The sequence below is a fragment of the Homo sapiens genome, chromosome 2 (assembly GCF_000001405.40).
Source record: "Homo sapiens chromosome 2, GRCh38.p14 Primary Assembly".
Classification (NCBI taxonomy): domain Eukaryota; kingdom Metazoa; phylum Chordata; class Mammalia; order Primates; family Hominidae; genus Homo; species Homo sapiens.
This window is the reverse complement of record NC_000002.12, coordinates 202690246-202708932: the sequence shown is the minus strand read 5'-3', so window position 1 is coordinate 202708932 and position 18687 is coordinate 202690246. Positions and strand designations below refer to the sequence as shown.

Genomic DNA, 18687 nt, shown 5'->3' with positions numbered 1-18687 from the left:
TGAAGGTCACTCAAAAAATTAAAAATTGGCTGGGCCTAGTGGCTCACACCAATAATCTCAGTGACGCAGGAGAGGCTGAGGTGGGAGGATCGCTTGAGGCCAAAAGTTCATGATCAGCCTGGGCAACAAAGTGACACTCCATCTCTAAAATTTTTTTTAAATTATTCAGGTGTGGTGGCACATGCCTAGAGTCCAGCTATTTGGGAGGCTGAGGCAGGAGGATCACTTGAGCTCAGAAGTTCGAGGCTGCAGTGAGCTAAGATCACGCCACTGTATTTCAGCCTGCGCAACAGAACAAGACCCAGTCTCTAAAAACAAAACAAATAATTAAAAATGGAAAAACCACATGCTCTAGCAATTCCAAAAGAACTGAAATCAGTATTTCAAAGAGGTATCTGCACTCACATGTTCACTGCGGCGCTATTCACAATAGCAGAGGTGTAGAAATATCCATTGGCAGATGAATGGATAAAGAAACTATGGTATATACATACAATGGAATATTATTCAAGCATTCAGTCTTAAAAAAAAAGAAATTCTGCAGTATATGATAATATGGATGAACTGTGAGGACATCCTACTAAATGAAATAAGTCAGCCACAAAAAGACAAATACTGCATGATTCAACTTATATGAGAAATCTAAAATAGTCAAATCATAGAATCAGAAATGGAATGGTGATTGCTAGGGACTGGGGGGATGGAGAGAGTTACCAACCAATGGAAATAAAGTTTCAGTTAAGCAAAATGAGTAAGTTCTAGAGATCTGCTGTATAATTATCATACCTATTATATTTATACTGTATTGTACGCGTAAAATTTTGTTGAGAGTAGATCTCTTCTGACAATAAAATAAAAAATTAGGCTGGGCGTGGTGGCTTATGCCTGTAATCCCAGCACTTTGGGAGGCCAAGGCGAGTGGATCACCTGAGGTCAGGAGTTCGAGACCAGCCTGGCCAACATGGTGAAACCCCCATCTCTACCAAAAATACAAAAAATGAGCTGGGCATGCTGGCACACTCCTGTAATCTCAGCTACTCGGGAGGCTGAGGCAGGAGATTGCTTGAACCTGGGAGGCGGAGGCTGCAGTGAGCCAAGATTGCACTGCTGCACTCCAGCCTGGGCAACAGAGCAAGACTCTGTCTCAAAAAAAAAAAAAATTAAGTTACACAATCATGAAACTATTTGTTTTATTGATTGATTGATGGACTGACTGAATGACTTTTGAGACAGAGTCTCACTCTGTCACCCAGGCTGGAGTACAGTAGCACGATCTCAGCTCACTGTGACCTCCACCTCCCAGGTTCAAGTGATTCTCGTGCCTCAGCCTCCCGAGTAGCTGGGATTGCAAGTGCACACGCCACCACACCTGGCCAATTTTTTGTATTTTTGGTAGAGACGGGGTTTCACCATGTTGGCCAGGCTGGTCTTGAACTCCTGAGCTCAAGTGATCTACCCACCGTGGCCTCCCAAAGTGCTGGGATTACAGGCATAAGCCACCATGCCTGGCCATGAAACTATTTGTTTTAAAGGATTCCAAAATATAACCCTTCATCTGCTAGATGTGCCCAGCCTATTTAATGGGCCAGGCCCAGTGGACCACACCTGTAATCCCAACACTTTGGGAGGCTGAGGGAGGAGGATGGCTTGAGTCCAGGAGTTCAAGACCAGCCTGGGCAACATAGTAAGGCCCGCATCTCTACAAAAAAAAAAAAAATTAAAAATTAGCCAGGTGTGGTGGCATGCACCTGTAGTCTTAGCTACCTGGGAGGCCAAGGAGGGAGGATTGCTTAATCATGATAGGTCAAGGCTGCAGTGAGCCACAATCATGGCACTGCACTCCAGCTGGTGACAAGCAAAACCCTAAAAAAATAAAAATAAAAACAACAACAACAAAAAACAATGTATGGTGTCACTGGCCTAGAGAAATTTGATCTAACATGTGAAATAAGAAAGGACAGGAACACAACTCCAAGTAGTAAAGATTTCGAAATTAAAATTCTCAGACTCCTAGGCTTACCCTAAGGAAGGCAAAGCTACTGACAGGCAACAACAGAACTTACACTGAAGTCACTGAATTTAGGCCCCCAAAAAAAGATTTTAACATTTCTTTTACTCCTAATGTTACACTTTCTACTCACTCCTGTTACATTCTAATTTCAACCAGTAGACCAAGGTTTTATTCAAAACAGCTGTTACTCAAAAAGTAATTTTACTTCTTCATTTTCATAACATTAAAATATACTTTTTAGTAATGCTTAGATCTACCAAATATGTAAAATAGTGATATTTTTACTCTAAATTACAGACTATTCTTTCAATTCAAAGAAAACAACCTGTAAACAAGTTTGTAGATTTATAAACAGCTGTCTTCAGTAATTCAACAAATACCTCTAGTTTAACAAATATTCAACTTTTATTGTTTTAATCACAGGACATCTTACAAAGTTTCTGAATTCAGATCTTTTCCATAAACTGGAAAACTCAGAACTTTTCCATAAATAGCAAATGCCAACCTATAAATTGTAAAAATAAAATACTTTCATAAAATACTCTGAAGCCAAGGTCCTTTTAGAAAAAACAAACACTTTCATAAAATATTAATCAAAATCAACCTTTGAGGGTTTTTAAAAAAATAGCCTCAGAAACACAGAGGGTCCAAGAAAAAATAATGTAAGACTTTTAAAAGCAAAAGATGACTGGTTTATGCCGTAAAGAAACCAAACCAAAGAAACAGGAAAGAGAAAGACATGTGGGGGCATGCGACTGTAGTCCCAACTACTCAGGAGGCTGAGGCAGGAGGATCCCTTGAGCCAAGGAGTTTGAGGCTATAGTGCACGGTGATTATGCCTGTGAATAGCCACTACACTCTAGCCTGGGAAACACAGTGAGACCTTGTCTCTAAAAAAATGTTAAAAATAAGAAGGAAATAGGAAAGAAAACCAGACATCAATCACGTGGGTCACAAAAAGTTAAATACTCAGATAAATCACCTATAAGGTAAATAAGCCTAGGTTAAGAAAGTTGGAAAGAAAATACCTTCTGAGTCAAAGGAATCCCAAATAATGCAAGCACACATACACACTACAGTTTCTCTCCCTAAATTGGTATAGTCAGCAAATATAAAAGGCACTCTGAAAATCAGGTAGTTTAAACCAAATTAATAGATTTGCCACATAGGTAGCTAATGCTGGAAATATAAATTAGTCTAACGTTTTTGGAAGGCAAACTCGCAAAGGATCAGACAAGAATCTTTAAAAGAACACGGAGGCAGTGTGGGGGCAGAGGTTGGTGACATTGTAGCTCTGTACAAACTCTAAAGCAGAAATGGCAAATCAGTCTTATAGGCAATTAGGCCCACTGACATGCTGGAGCACTAAGCTAAAAGGCTCTCAGGCTATTTGAACATACACAGAATAAAGAATGGCTGCCAAACAGACAGGAAAAAAAGAGAATACCTTTGTGTCAAGTAATTATGATGACAAATAATCATGTACAGTAAAACCTTAATCATTCACTCATTCTCATGACCAAAGCAAATGATGAGGTGGGGTATGCAACAGGAGAGATTAACATCTTTCAAAACTTGTTCCATGTTCTTAACTTTTTTTGTTTTTTTTTTCTTTGAGATGAAGTTTCACTCTTGTTGCCCAGACTGGAGTGCAATGGTACTATCTTGACTCACTGCAACCTCCACCTCCCAGGTACAAACGATTCTCCTGCCTCAGCTTCCCGAGTAGCTGGGATTACAGGCATGCGCCACCACACTCGGCTAATTTTGTATTTTTAGTAGAGATGGGGTTTCTCCATGTTGGTCAGGCTGGTCTCAAACTCCCAACCTCAGGTGATCCACCTGCCTCGGCCTCCCAAAGTGCTGGGATTACAGGTGTCAGCCACTGCGCCCGGCCCTCTTAACTTTTTAAATGCTGCATTTCTCTTTCTCTGTATTTTCCAGAATCCTTCTCCCATTTCCAATCTTCCCCTAGGAGGTGGAAAGGCCTGAGAGTAATACATAATTATTTCAAAATCAGGCCAGGCGCACTGGCTCACACCTGCAATACACCAGCACTTTGGGAGGCTGAGGCAGGCGGATTACCTGAGGTCAGGTGTTCGAGACTAGCCTGGCCAATATGGTGAAGCCTCATCTCTACTAAAAATACTATATATATATATATTAGCCGGGCATGGTGGTGGGCACCTATAATCCCAACTACTCAGGAGGCTGAGGCAAGAGAATTGCTTGAACTTGGGAGGCAGAGGCTGCAGTGAGCTGAGATTGTGCCACTGCACTCTAGCCTGGGCAAGATTGTCTCAAAAAGAAAATCAAGAAACCAGGGCTTAGAGTAGTGACATGATAAAATTTGCCAAAAGTCTACATCAGCTTTCTGAAAGCACCCACTTACAACCTAAGATAAAGTATTTCCAACATACTCTTTGCTGCAGCAGTGTCTAGACAGGCAAATAACTGCTAAAAGTGCCCCAGGTCCCTTGCTAAAGGCAGAAATCACTTATCAGTCTCAGCAATCTTTATCCTGCATCTTCTCAACAGGATGCTCCAGGAAGGCAATAGCAATAGATCAAATTCCTTAGGGGATAAAACCTACATTCCATCCTTGTTCAAATCTGACAATAAAGGTAATCACTTTAATTTTTAATTTAACAGAGAACATTTATTGAATGCTTACTAGGTGCCAGATACTGTTCCGAGAGTTTTATATGTTTTCTTTATTTAATCTTCAAAGTAACCTCAAAAAATTGGTACTATAGTTCTCCCATTTTACAAAAAGGAAACAGAGGCACAGAGATGTTAAGACAGTGTCTGAACTCTAAAGGAGATATGCAAATGGCCAGTAAGCACATGAAAAGATACTCAGCACCATTAGTTATATGGGGAAACAAATCCTAACAATTACATACCACAACATACCTACTAGGACGACTATAATTTTTCAAACAAGTGTTAGTAAATATATAGAGAAACTGGAATTATATACCTTCATACATGGGGATAGAAAATGATACAGCTGCTGTGAAAAAGTTTGGCAGTTCCTCTAAAAACTAAACATCGAATTATCATATGACCCAGCAATTCCACTCTCAGGTATATATCGAAAGGAACTGAAAGCAGGGATTCACACAGATACTTGCATGTACACTGCAGCATTGTTCAGAACAGTCAAAAGGTAGAAACACCCCAAATATCCATCTACAGATTAACAGGTAAACAAAATGTGGTATATTGATAAATGGAATATTATTCACCCATTAAGAGAGATTAAGGCCAGGTGTGATGGCTCTTGCCTGTAATCCCAGCACTTTGGGAGGCCAGAGTGGACATCTCTTGGGGCCAGGACTTCTAGACCAGCCCGGGCAACATAGAAAGATCCTGTCTCTACTAAAAACTCAAAAAACTAGCTGGGCATAGTGGTGCAAGCCCATAGTCCTAGCTAATCAGGAGGCTGGGCAGGGGAGGCATCCCTTGAACCCAGGAGGTCGAGGCTGTAATGACCTGTGATCATCCCACTATACTCCAGCCTAGGCAACACAGGGAAGGAGGTAGGAGGAAGTAAGGATGGAATTAAGTTCAATACATGATACAACATGAATGAACCTCAAAAACATTATGCTAAGTGAAATGAGTCAGATGCAGGAAAACAAACTGTATGATTCCACTTACATGAAATGGGCAAATTCATGGAAACAGAAAGTGAGATAGTGGTTAAGTATTAACTGCCAGTGGTATTAATAGTGAGGAAAAAAGGAGGATGGGGAGTTACAGGGTTTCTTTTTGGAGTGATGAAAAAGTTTTGGAAATAGTTAGCAATGGTTGCACAACATTGTGAATGTAATTAATGCCACTAAATTATATACAGTTATAACTCAAGAGATATTGGGAGTTCAGTTCCAGACCACTGCAATAAAGGGAGTAACACAATAAAGCAAGTCACATGAATTTCTTTGGTTTCCCAGTGCATATAGAAGTTATGTTTGCACTATACTATAGTGTATTAAGTGTGCAATAACATTATGTCTTAACAAACATACCTATCTTAATTTTAAAATATTGATTTAAAAAATGTGGCTGGGCGCAGTGGCTCACACCTGTAATCCCAGCACTTTGGGAGGCCGAGGCAGATGGATCACGAGGTCAGGAGATCGAGACCATCCTGGCTAACACAGTGAAACCCCGTCTCTACTAAAAATACAAAAAATTAGCTGGGTGTGGTGGCGGGCGCCTGTAGTCCCAGCTACCCAGGAGGCTGAGGCAGGAGAATGGCGTGAACCTGGGAGGCGGAGTTTGCATTGAGCTGAGACTGTGCCACTGCACTCCAGCCTGGGCGACAGAGCAAGATTCCGTCTCAAAAAAAAATGCTAATGATCATCTGAGCCTTCAATAAGTCACAATCTTTTTGACAGTGGAGGGTCTTGACTTGATGTTAACGGCTGCTGACTGATCAGGGTGATGGCTGCTGAAGGCCAAGGTGGCTACAGCAATTTCTTTCTTTTTTATTTATTTTATTTCTTTCTTTCTTTATTTTTCTGAGACAGAGTCTCACTCTGTCGCCCAGGCGGGAGTGCAATGGTGTGATCTCAGCTCACAGCAACCTCTGCCTCCCGGGTTCAAGCGATTCTCCTGCCTCAGCCTCCTGAGTAGCTGGGATTACAGGTGCACACCACCATGCCCCACTAAATTTTGTATTTTTAATATAGAAGGGGTTTCACTATGTTGGTCCGGCTGGTCTCGAACTCCTGACCTCATGACCTGCCCACCTCGTCCTCCCAAAGTACTGGGATTACAGGTGTGAGCCACCGCACCCGTGCAGCAATTTCTTAAAATAAGATGACAATGAAGTTTGCTGCATCAACGGACTCAGGTCCTTTCACAAAAGATTTTTCTGTAGCACACAATGCTGCGTGGGTAGCATATTGCCCATAGTACAATTTCTCTCAAAATTGGTGACAACCCTCTCAAAACCTGCTACTGCTTTAACAACTAAGTTAGTTTATGTAATATTCTTAATCCTTTGTTTTCATTTCAACAATATTCACCACATCTTCACCAGGAGTAGATTCTATCTCAAGAAACCACTTTATTTGCTCATCCATAAGAAGCAATTTGTCATGCTTAAGTTTTATCATGAGATTGCAGCAATTCAATCACATCTTCAGGTTCTACTTCTAATTCTAGTTATCTTGCTATTTCCACCACATCTGCAATGACCTCTTCCACTGAAGTCTTGAAACCCTCAAAGTCATCCATGAGGCTTGGAATCACCTTCTTCCAAACTCCTGATAATGTTGATATTTGACCTAATCCTACAAATCACAAATGTTCTTAATGGCACCTAGAATGGTGAATCTTTTCCAAAAGCTTTTCCATTTACTTTGCCCAGATCCATCAGAGGAATCACTATCTATGGCAGTTATGGCCTCATTAAATGTATTTTCTTAATAATAAGACTGGAAAGTCAAAATTATTTCTTGGAACCATGGGCTGCAAAATGGATGTTGTGTTAGCAGGCATGAAAGCAACATTCCTCTCTGTGTGTATCTGCATCACAGCTCTTGGGTGACCAGTTGCATTGCCAATGAGCAGTAACATTCTGAAAGTAATCTTTTGTTCTGAACAGTAGGTCTCAATGGTGGGCTTAAAATATTCAGTAAATCATGCTATAAAAAGACGTGCTGGCATCCAGGCTTTGTCGTTCCATGAATCAAGCAAAAGCAGAGTAGATTTAGCATAATTCTTAAGGGTCTTAGGATTTTCAGAATGGTAAATGAGTACTGGCTTCAACTTAAAGTCACCAGCTGCATTTGCCCCTAACAAGAGAGTTGGCCTGTTCCTTAAAGTCAGGCATTGACTTCTCTCTAGCTATGAAAGTCCTAGACGGCATCTTCTTACAAGATAAGGCTGTTTTGTCATTAAAAATCTAGCTGGGTGCAGTGGCTCACACCTGTGATCCCAACACTTTGGGAGGCCAAGGTGAGAGGACAGCTTGAGGCCAGGAGTTCAAGACCAGCCTGGTCAACATAGCAAGATCCTGTCTCTACAAAAACATTTAAAAAAGAAAAAATACAAGCATGTCAGTGTGTGCCTACAGTCCCAGCTACTTGGGAACCTGAGGCAAGAGGACTGATTGAGCCCAGGGCCCAGGAGTTTAAGGTTGTACCGAGCTATGACTGCATTACTGCACTCCAGCCTAGGTGACAGAGCAAGACTCCATCTCAAAAAAAAAAAAAAAAAAATTCTTGTTTAGTGTAGCCATCTTCAACAGTAATCTTAGCTAGATCTTCTGGATAACTTACTACAGTTTCTATATCAGTACTTGCTGCTTCACCTTTCACTTTTATGTTATGCAGATGGCTTCTTTCATTAAACCTCATGAACCAACCTGTTAGCTTCAAACTTTTCTTCTGTAGCGTCCTCGCCTATCTTAGCCTTCATAAGAACTGAAGAGAATTAAGGTCTTACTCTAGATTAGGCTTTGGCTTAATGAAATGTTGTGGCTGGTTTGATCTTCTATCTAGATCACTAAAACTTTTTCCATATTGCCAATAAAGCTGTTTCACTTTCTTATCATTCATAATGCTCATTCAAGTAGTATTTTTAATTTCCTTCAAAAACTTTTCCTTTGCATTCACAACTTGGCTAGCTGTTTGGTACAAGAGGCCTAGCTTTTGGCCTATCTCAGCTTTTGACGTGCCTTGCTTTCTAAGCTCAATCATGTCTAGCTTTTGATTGAAATAGAGAGACATGTAACTCTTCACCTCACTTGACCCTTAGAGGGCATTGTAAAGTTATTAATTTGTCTAATTTCAATACTGTTGTGTCTGAGAAAACAAAGAGGCCCAATGAGAGGGAGAGACTCAGCAGAACAGCAGTCAGAATACACACAACATTCATCAATTAAGTTCCCCGTCTTATATAGGCATGGTTCATGGCACCTCAAAACAATTAACAGTAACATCAAAGATCACTGAGCACAGATCACCATAACAGATACAATAATAATGCAAATGGCTGAAATATTGCAAGAACTACCAAAATGGGGCAGAGACACAAAGTGAGCACATTTTTGGAAAATGGCACCTACAGACTTGCTCAGGGCAGAGTTGCCACAAACCTTCAATTTGTAAAAAAACACAATATCTGCGAAGCCCAATAAAGTTCAATAAAATGACATAGGCATGTATTTTTAAATGGTCAAACCAGCAAACCTTGTTATATATATTTTACCACAATGTTTAAAAGTTGATTTAACTAGCATACACTTAGGGAAACCCAATATCTGCAAATAAGGTATTTGAGAGTTTTTGATTAATTGTGTTACTGCTAAATTCACTTGCCAAAGATGAGAGCCCACCATGTAACTGAAAGGATGGAGTACCCAGTTATCCTTTAGGAGATTCTACACGAGCTTTACAAATAAGATTAACAGTATGATAATTATACATTTTCTTTCTTTCTTTTTTTTTTTTTTTCTTTTTTTTTTTTTTTTTTTTTTGAGATGGGGTCTCACTCTGTCACCCAGGCTGGAGTGAGGTGGCACGATCTCGGCTCACAGCAACCTCCACCTCCCGGGTTCAAGCAATTCTCCTGTCTCAGCTTCCCGAGTAGCTGGGACTACAGGTGCACGCCACCACGCCTGGCTAATTTTTGTATATTTAGTAGAGACAGAGTTTCACCATATTGGTCAGGCTGGTCTCGAACTCCTGACCTCAGGTGATCCGCCCACCTCAGCCTCCCAAAGTGCTGGGATTACAGGCGTGAGCCACCACACCCAGATCTAAATTTTCTTTTTATTTGTACCCTTAACATTCTCAATTTGGGGGATATTTAGAAAAAGGCAAGGAATATAGGGTTTATATTTTAATTCAATTGTTAGGTCACAGCAATTTGCTGAAAAGACTTACTGAACTGCATCCACAGATCAAGAGGCTCCCAATGGCTTGTATGATAGCATACTCTTACTAATATGACAAAATGTCTGAACCCATTGAACCTAAAACTGCAGTGGAAATAAAGGGTGCTGTAGAAATGCTCAAGGAAATAAACTTCTACAAATTTAAATGTGACATGTGGATTAAGCAGAAAGCAAGTGGACACCGTATTCATTTTCCAAACTACATGCCCTAAGCTCAGCAAAGTTACAGATTGTGAATAACTACAGAGTTTCACAGAACTCTTTGGTTAAAAAAGTCAATTTTAGGCTGGGCGCGGTGGCTCATGCCTGTAATCCTAGCGCTTTGGGAGGCCAAGGCGGGTGGATCACCTGAGGTCAGGAGTTTGAGACTGGCCTGACCAATATGGTGAAACTCCATCTCTACTAAAAATACAAAAATTAGCCAGGCGTGGTGGCGTGCGCTTGTAGTCCCAGCTACTTGGGAGGCTGAAACAGGAGAATTGCTTGTACCCAGGAGGCAGAGGTTGCAGTGAGCTGAGATCAGGCCACTGCACTCCAACCTAGGCAACAGAGTGAGACTCCATTCCAAAAAAAGAAAAAAAAAGTCAATTTCAGAAAAGATTCATTACTTTTGATGAGTACAGAGTCTACATTTTCATTTCTGTAGTTTGCACTAAAGTATAAACACCAAGGTAATCCAAATCCCAATTGTCTGCCCTAACAGTAGGATTCCGTTTCAAGATTATCAGAACAGAAAATAAACTGAGCCCACTAAGAATACCTGGAATTTTGGAAATCAATATACAAATCCAAAACCATCACAGAAAAGTGTTTACTCGGTTCTTTAATAAACATTCTCTCAGGGCTGGGCACCTTGGCTCACGCCTATAATCCCAGCACTTTGGGAGGCTGGCAGATCACTTGAGGTCAGGAGTTCGAGATAAGCATGGCCAACACAGCAAAACCCCGTCTCTACTAAAAACACAAAAAATTAGCTGGGCGTAGTGACATGTGCCTGTAATCTCACCTACTCAGGAGGCTGAGGCAAGAGAATTGCTAGAACCCGGGAGGTGGAGGTTTCAGTGAGCCAAGATTGTGCCCCTGTACTCCATCCAGCCTGGGAAACAGAGAGAAACTTATCTCAAAAAATAAAAATAAAAATAAAAAACATTATCTCGGGCCACGTGTGGTGGCTCACACCTGTAATCCCAGCACTTTGGGAGGCCGAGGTAGGCAGATCACTTGAGGACAGGAGTTTGAGACCAGCCTGGCCAACATGGTAAAACCCCGTCTCTACTAAAAGTACAAAAATTAGTCAGAAATGGTGGTGCACGCCTGTAGTCCAGCTCCTCGGGAGGCTGAGGCATGAGAATCGCTTGAATCCGGGAGGCAGTGGTTGCAGTGAGCCAAGATTATACCACTGCACTCCAGCCTGGGCGACACAGCGAGATTCTATCTCAGGGGAAAAAAAAAAAAAAGAAAGAAAAAAAAAATCTTCAAAAAATGTTGAGACCAGGAGTAACGTAAATCTGAAGTCTAAATCAAGATGTACCCTACCTGACTTTCAACAATCAGTATAAAAAATCTTTTAAATCTTTAAATGTTTTTCATTCTTCACTAGCAATAAAGCTGTAACTGTTTTGCTCATTCATTCCTTTGCAAATATTCCTTGGGCCATTTATTCTGCATTTAGTATTAAGTCCTGGGCATGGAAATACAGCAATAGACAAGCCAGACACAATTCCTATCTTCATGGGTCTTACTATCTAGTGAATGTTAGAAGCCATAAATAAATAACTACACAAATATTTAACTAGTTATAATTGTGGTAAGTAAGAAACTACACCAAACTAAGATGCAGTCTTCAACTGGCTGTATGATCTTAGACCTCAACTTCTTCATCTGTAAAACTAAGGGGTAGACCTGAATGATTTCTTCTTCTTTGTTTTTTCTTTTTTTGAGACAGGTTCTCACTCTATTGCCCAGGCTGGTGTGCTGTGGTATGATCACTGCTCACTGCAGCCTTGACCTCCCAGGTTCAAGTGATTCTCCTGCCTCAGCCTCCCAAGTAGCTGGTACTACAAGTGTGCACCAGCATGCCCGGCTAATTTTTGTATTTTTTTGCAGAGATGAGGTTTCGCCATGCTGCCCAGGTTGGTACTGAACTCCTGGGTTCAAAAGCCATCCACCCATCTCGGCCTCCCAAAGTGCTGGCACTATAGGCGTAAGCCATCCCGCCTGGCCCTGAATGATTTCTTGAGATCCCTTTCTATTAAACAATTTTACAAACCCAGAAGTATAAAACTTTGCTTCCAGAGTCCCTTTGTCAGAATATTTACATTTTTAGGATCAGCAAAGTAATACAGTCCCCATCTCCCGAAACATGAAGGTTTTTTTGGCACAAAAACGTAAAGTTAGATGGTCACTAATCTTTGCTGTTACAAATTTTTAAGACCAAATTCCATATATTAAATATATTATGATATTGTAAACCAAGCTTGTCCAAAACCTGCGGCCCATGGGCCTCATGAGGACCAGGATGGTTTTGAATGCAGCCCGACATAAATTCGTAAACTTTCTTAAAACATTATGAATTTTTTGCAATTTTTTTTAAGCTCATTAGTGTTAGTGTATTTTATGCGTGGCCCAATACAATTCTTCGTCTTCCAATGTGGCCCAGGGAAGACAAAAGATTGGACACCCCTGTTGTAAACTAACTTATAAAGAATAAGTGGGAAAAAAAAGTATGTCCATAAATTATCTGTATGTATCAGAATTACTTTGATAGCTATTTAAAATGCACATTCCCAGGCCCCAACCAAAACCGACTACAGAATACCTGGAGGTCAGGCTTGGAATCTGCTCTTTTTGGTAAGTTTCTCAAGTTAATTCTAATATACACTAAATGTTTGTTCTACTCAAAGCAGAACAAATAATATTAGAAGAAGTAGCTTCAGAGAAAAACACTTCAGGATAAGAACTATAATAAGCTTACCTGTGTAGCTTTGTCCCTCATGCAAGGTGCAGCTTGCCCATGGCTATCCCGAGGCCAGTGTCCAGCAAGATACGGTGCAGCAAGAGTATCCAGGGAGGAAGTGCGTCGGATAATACTGGAGGGGCTTGAAGAAGGCTGTCGTGTTTTGTCACCTAGATTTAAGACAAAAATGCTTGTTTTAATAAAATTAGGAAAGAAACAAAGCAGAAACTAAGTTTTAAACTATGTAGAAAGTTCTCCAACTTAACTATGGTAATCCCCTTTAACCACAGGGGATACTTCCAAGACCCCCAGTAAAGATGCCTGAAATGGCACATTGTACTCAATTCTATATACACTGTTTTTTCCTATATATACATATCTATGATAAAGTTTAACTTGTAAGTTAGGCACAGCATGAGATTAACAACAATAACTAATAATAAAATAGAACAAGTATAACAACAAGCCAGCATCACTGCTCTTGGGCTTTGAGGCCATTAAGTAAAACAAAAATTCCTCGAACATCAGCACTGCAAAACCATGACAGTCAATCCAACGATTGAGAGGGCTCCAAAGTGACTAGCAGGTAGGGAGCATAGACAACGTGCATACGTTGGACAAAGGAATGATTCACGTTCCTGGTGGGGGATGCGAGATAGCAAGACATTTCGTCACCCTACTCAGAATGGCGCAATTTATAACATATAAATTGTTTATTTCTTGAAATTTTCCACTTAATCTTTTCAGACCAAGGTTGACTAGAAGTAACTGAAACCATAAAAAAAAAAAGGATAAGGATTACTGTATATAAACAGAAACAAAAAGGAACAAGCTACTCATACACGCAATAACTTTCATGACTCTCCAGAGAACTATACTGAGTGAAAACAGTTGACCCACCCTAGGCCTAGCAAATCTAAATCTCCAGGGATTGGGCCCAGGAATTTTCCATAGAATCAATGTATCTCTCATATCCAACAAATTCTTATTTGGATCTCCTTCTTGTTTATAAATTAAACCCTTGTTCGATACATTTCAGGGAAATGGGAGGACATAATGAAAATAAGACAGGAAGGTAATTATCATGGGAAAATATAAAATAAATCAGTGACAATCTTTCACTAAATATTGTCACTAAAAAATTAGTGACAATGTTATTTGATAATGACATCTAAAAGTAATACTGGCACTTAGTGATCATCTTATTCCTCAATCTTCACAGAGGATGGAGTAATAACACATCTGCTTCACAATAACTTAGTACCAGCCCAAAAGATTAAGACAAATTAACACCTTGCTAATTGATCCCTTGCCTTTGAGAGTATCCTAGGGCATGCATAAACCAAATCAAGTGCCAAGAACCAACCACCAGCTTTGTAACAGGGGTAGGTTTCATTTCTGAGCAAACAAAGTGGGTATTTGCCAATATAATAGTTATAAGACATCCAATGTAAATTAAAATAGTAAAATAATATGGTGGCAATAAAGCATATTACTTATTAATGTTTCCTCACATTAATAAGTAATGTGAGGAAAGACACATATAAAAAAGTTGGTTTTGGCCAGGCGTGGTGGCTCAAGCCTGTAATCCCAGCACTATGGGAGGCCGAGGTAGGAGGATCACCTGAGGTCAGAAGTTCGAGACCACCCTGGCCAACATGGCGAAACCCCGTCTCTACTAAAAATACAAAAATTAGCCAGGTGTGGTGGCGGGCGCCTGTAATCCCAGCTACCGAGGAGGCTGAGGCAGGAGAATCGCTTGAATCCTAGAGTTGGAGGTTGCAGTGAGCCAAGATCGCACCACTGCACTCCAGTCTGGCGACAGAGTGAGACTCTGTCTCAAAAAAAAAAAAAAAAAAAAAGAAGTGGGTTTTGCAATAACATCTTCAATAATGCAGGCCAAGCTTTGATACATCAAAATAAACTTTAAGTACCAACCAACACCTCATACATGATTTAATAATTGGAAAATAAATCTATGTATAATTTTCTGTGAGAATAATTCTAACTACCCTTACCCCATAGTTGCCAGTAAAAAAGGAAAATGTGTTCTCCTAAATAAATGGACCACATTAAAACTATATTCAATGTGCACATCCTTTAAGATTAAGCCCCCAAATCAAAGTGGCATTAAAAAAACTATTTCAAAATTAATGATCAACTTTCAAGTTTATTTACAAAAAGAGCACATAACAATGAATTGCAGAAAACTAGAAACAACAAAATGTCCAAAATGAGAAGATGATTGGACACATTACGGCAGAGTCACATAATGTAATGATAGGCCATTCAAAGAATTAAGCACATAGATACACACGTCCTGATCTAAAGACTCATTCATGATAAAGTCAGTGAAAAAAGGCAAGTCCTCACATGTTTATAAAAGGCATGATCTCATATTTTGTTTTAAAAAGTAATTAGATGTGCATAAAAGTGTTTGTTTTGTTTTGTTTTTGACATACAGTCTCGCTCTGTCACCCAGGCTAGAGTGCAGTGTGGCGATCTAGGCTCACTGCAACCTCCACCTCCCAGGTTCAGGTGATTCTCCTGCCTCAGCCTTCCAAGTAGCTGGGACTACAGGTGCCAGCTAACTTTTGTATTTTTAGTAGAGACGGGGTTTCACCATGTTGACCAGGCTGGTCTTGAACTCCTGATCTCAAGTGACTCGCCCGCCTCAGCTTCCCAAAGTGCTGGGATTACAGGCATGAGGCACCACACCCGGCCAGTGTTAGTACATTTATTTTTTAAATCTGGAAAAAGTATGCACCTAACCTTCTGGGGGACAGAATTAGTGTTTTAATTACTAATTTAGGCATTTCTATAATGTTTGAATTTTTACATGGAGTATACTGTTCGAGAAAAGGTATTAAAACAATAGAAACACTTTTAAAACAAGTTACTAATTTTCTGAAATCATAAAATGCTTAAAAATACAAAAATATCTATATTAGATTTTGGGAATTTTTATGGTTTATATCTGGGGTTGGGAAAACTACAGCCTACAGGCCAAATCTGTCTTGCACCTGTTTTTTGTATGGCTAGCAATCTAAAACTGGCTTGTACATTTTTTAATGGTTGGGGGACAAATTAAAATATTTTGTAATCCATAAAAATTAAATCACATTCCAACTTTAATGTCCATAAGTAAAGTTTTATTGGAACACAAATATGATCATTCATTTACAGGTTGTCTATGGCTGCTTTTGTGCTTAAAAAAAAAGGCAGAATTAAGTACACACAGCAAAGACCTCATATGGCCCTCTCATTGCTTCACACTGCTGCTCAGCACTACAAATCATAATGACAAAGTTATGCCATGTGCATCTCTTGTCTGGGTGAAAAGTCAAATTCGAAGATGATACGTAAAATTTCATATAAATCAGCATTAGCAGATGAACATTTGCAATTGATTTGATGATATGGAACGCTAACTTTTAACTAGAATTAAGTGAAATGTTATCCCTTTAAAAAGAATTCCCTTTTCTCATTAGAGCTGTATTACAAAAAATGCATTCAATTATTATATTTTGAAATTTTGTCCTTTAAAAATTTGTGAAAAATTGCATGCTCTCTTATTATAGTAGTGCCTACATAATATCTTCGATTTTACCTCTTGACCTGTAAAGTCTAAAATTTTACTATGTGGTACATTACAGAAGAAGTTTGCTGACCCCTGGTTTCTACTGCATGTCTTTATGTCTTGGTTTCTGTGCTACAACACCCTCATATATTTTATCTTTTGGCAGGGGAAGGGGATGAGCTTAGCTCATTTATGCTTAACTTTCATAGGGGCTTTAAAAATATTTTAAAGATATATTCATAATATTATATTACAGTGTTATTCTAGTTCTATAAGATGGCAAATACATGTATGAAAACACCTCTTGACACCTCTCTATATTACATTATTATCTTGGTAAGGGTCTTGCATAGCTACAAGTACAAAAGTTCAGGTGCTGGTTATGTGACCCACATAAGATCCAATTCCACTAATACAATAGTTACAGCAACTGTGTTGCTGATAACCATAAAAGCTGCTTCACAAATATGTCTGAGACACATAATTTGCTTTCTCAGTTATTTCACTATGGCACAGTTATTTCACTAATACGTAATTGTTATAAATGCTACCTATCTCTCCATGTTCAGTTTTCCTTTTGTAGCACATTTTCAGAAAACAAATGCAGTATATACTCATTTTCAGGAAAATATGTACCCACATTATTAACTGTGACAAGTGAAACGCAATAAATATACATGTTCACAATTTTTCCTCTAACTAAAAAAAAATCCCTTTCGGGATAGTCGCAAGAAAACTAGTCTCAGCTGGCAGGGTGGGGAGGCGCGCGCGCACACACACACACACACACACACACACACACACACACACACACACACACAATGTAAACTGGTATATATGCATTATATCAAATGGCTAAAAGCTGTCTGGCACTTTTCTTCCCTAACTATGACCATTGTTGCTTCAGTTGCCTACCGGTACATTAATTCAACAGACCTTACTAATGGGTCTGATTTCATTTTTTTTTTTAATTAAAAATCTAAGGGTTAACTTTTCAACCAGTCCGCCAAAGATTATTAAAATTATTGGATTATTATTATTTCTTTTTTGGGGGGAAAGAATCTCGCTCCATCACCCAGGCTGGAGTGCAGAGGCATGATCTCAGCTCACCGCAACCTCCACCTCCCAAGTTCAAGCAATTCTCCTGCCTCAGCCTCCCAAGTAGCTGGGATTACAGGCATGCATCACCAAAACACCTGGCTCATTTTTATACTTTTAGTAGAGACAGCGTTTCTCCATGTTGGCCAGGCTGGTCTCCAACTCCTGACCTCAGGTGATCCTGCCCACCTTGGCCTCCCAAAGTGCTGGGATTACAGACGTGAGCCACCATGCCCAGCCAGATTATTATTATTTTGATAATGAACTGGAGAACAGATGAGTTATACATGTAAAAATGCTGAACATTTTATCTTTGGAACTCCCTTCCTTTAATCCATTTGTTCAGACAGTAAGGGCCTGTGAGCCAGTGCTAAGCCCTAGAAATTAAAAAGAATAAGTCGCAGCCTGTAATAAAGAACACAGTCTACATCTACCCTGTCATTTTTCCATTTCAATCCAAGTTCCCAAAACTGACAGGATTTGGTGCCTAATTATTAAGGAGGTTATGGGAGGAAAATCTGAAGAAGCAAAGATGACTCAAAAGTTCCCAGACTAAGTGAACTAAGGCTGTATTTATAAGGAAATCCACGGTAAGAAACTGACAGCTAACAAGACTCTTCATGATCTGGCCTCTGAAGCCTCACTTTTTTGCCTGCACTGCCTTGATCCCTACACTAAGACCATGGACTTGCAGTTCCCAGTATGTACTGTGCCCTTACATGCCTCTAGGTGTTTGTCTCTACCCTTATATCCCTTTCTTTGGTGTGGCTAATTCATGCTTAACCTTTCAAAATTCAGTTCAGATGTAACTTCCTCTGGAAAATCTTCCTCAACCACCCACCCGAACTCATAGTTCACTGGAAAGGTTCCTGACTGTTCCTGTGTTCCGGTACAGAGCATGATTCTGCAGGGGAGGAATTTTACTTCCCACCCCCCATCCCAGTGATTAAGGCAAACCCTGATACAGGCAATATGTTATAAATGGCCAATGAAAAAATTAATTTTCTTTGTTAATTTCCTAAATGAAGAAGACTTGAGATGCAGAGAAAAGAATGACTTCCAATGTTACTATCATTTATCAACAAGGACAAGTGTATGCAATAAATTCACATGCTTTTTGGTTAATT

The 18687-nt window shown here is 39.8% G+C and overlaps 1 protein-coding gene across 1 annotated transcript in view; it reads right to left on the bottom strand.

The window, feature by feature from the left end:
• The window catches only part of FAM117B (family with sequence similarity 117 member B), a 134789-nt gene that overhangs the window by 60825 nt on the left and 55277 nt on the right, over positions 1–18687 (bottom strand). The window contains exon 2 of the mRNA NM_173511.4: positions 12901–13052. Within this exon, the coding sequence (NP_775782.2) occupies positions 12901–13052 (152 nt within the window). The remainder of the gene's footprint in view (positions 1–12900; positions 13053–18687) is intronic.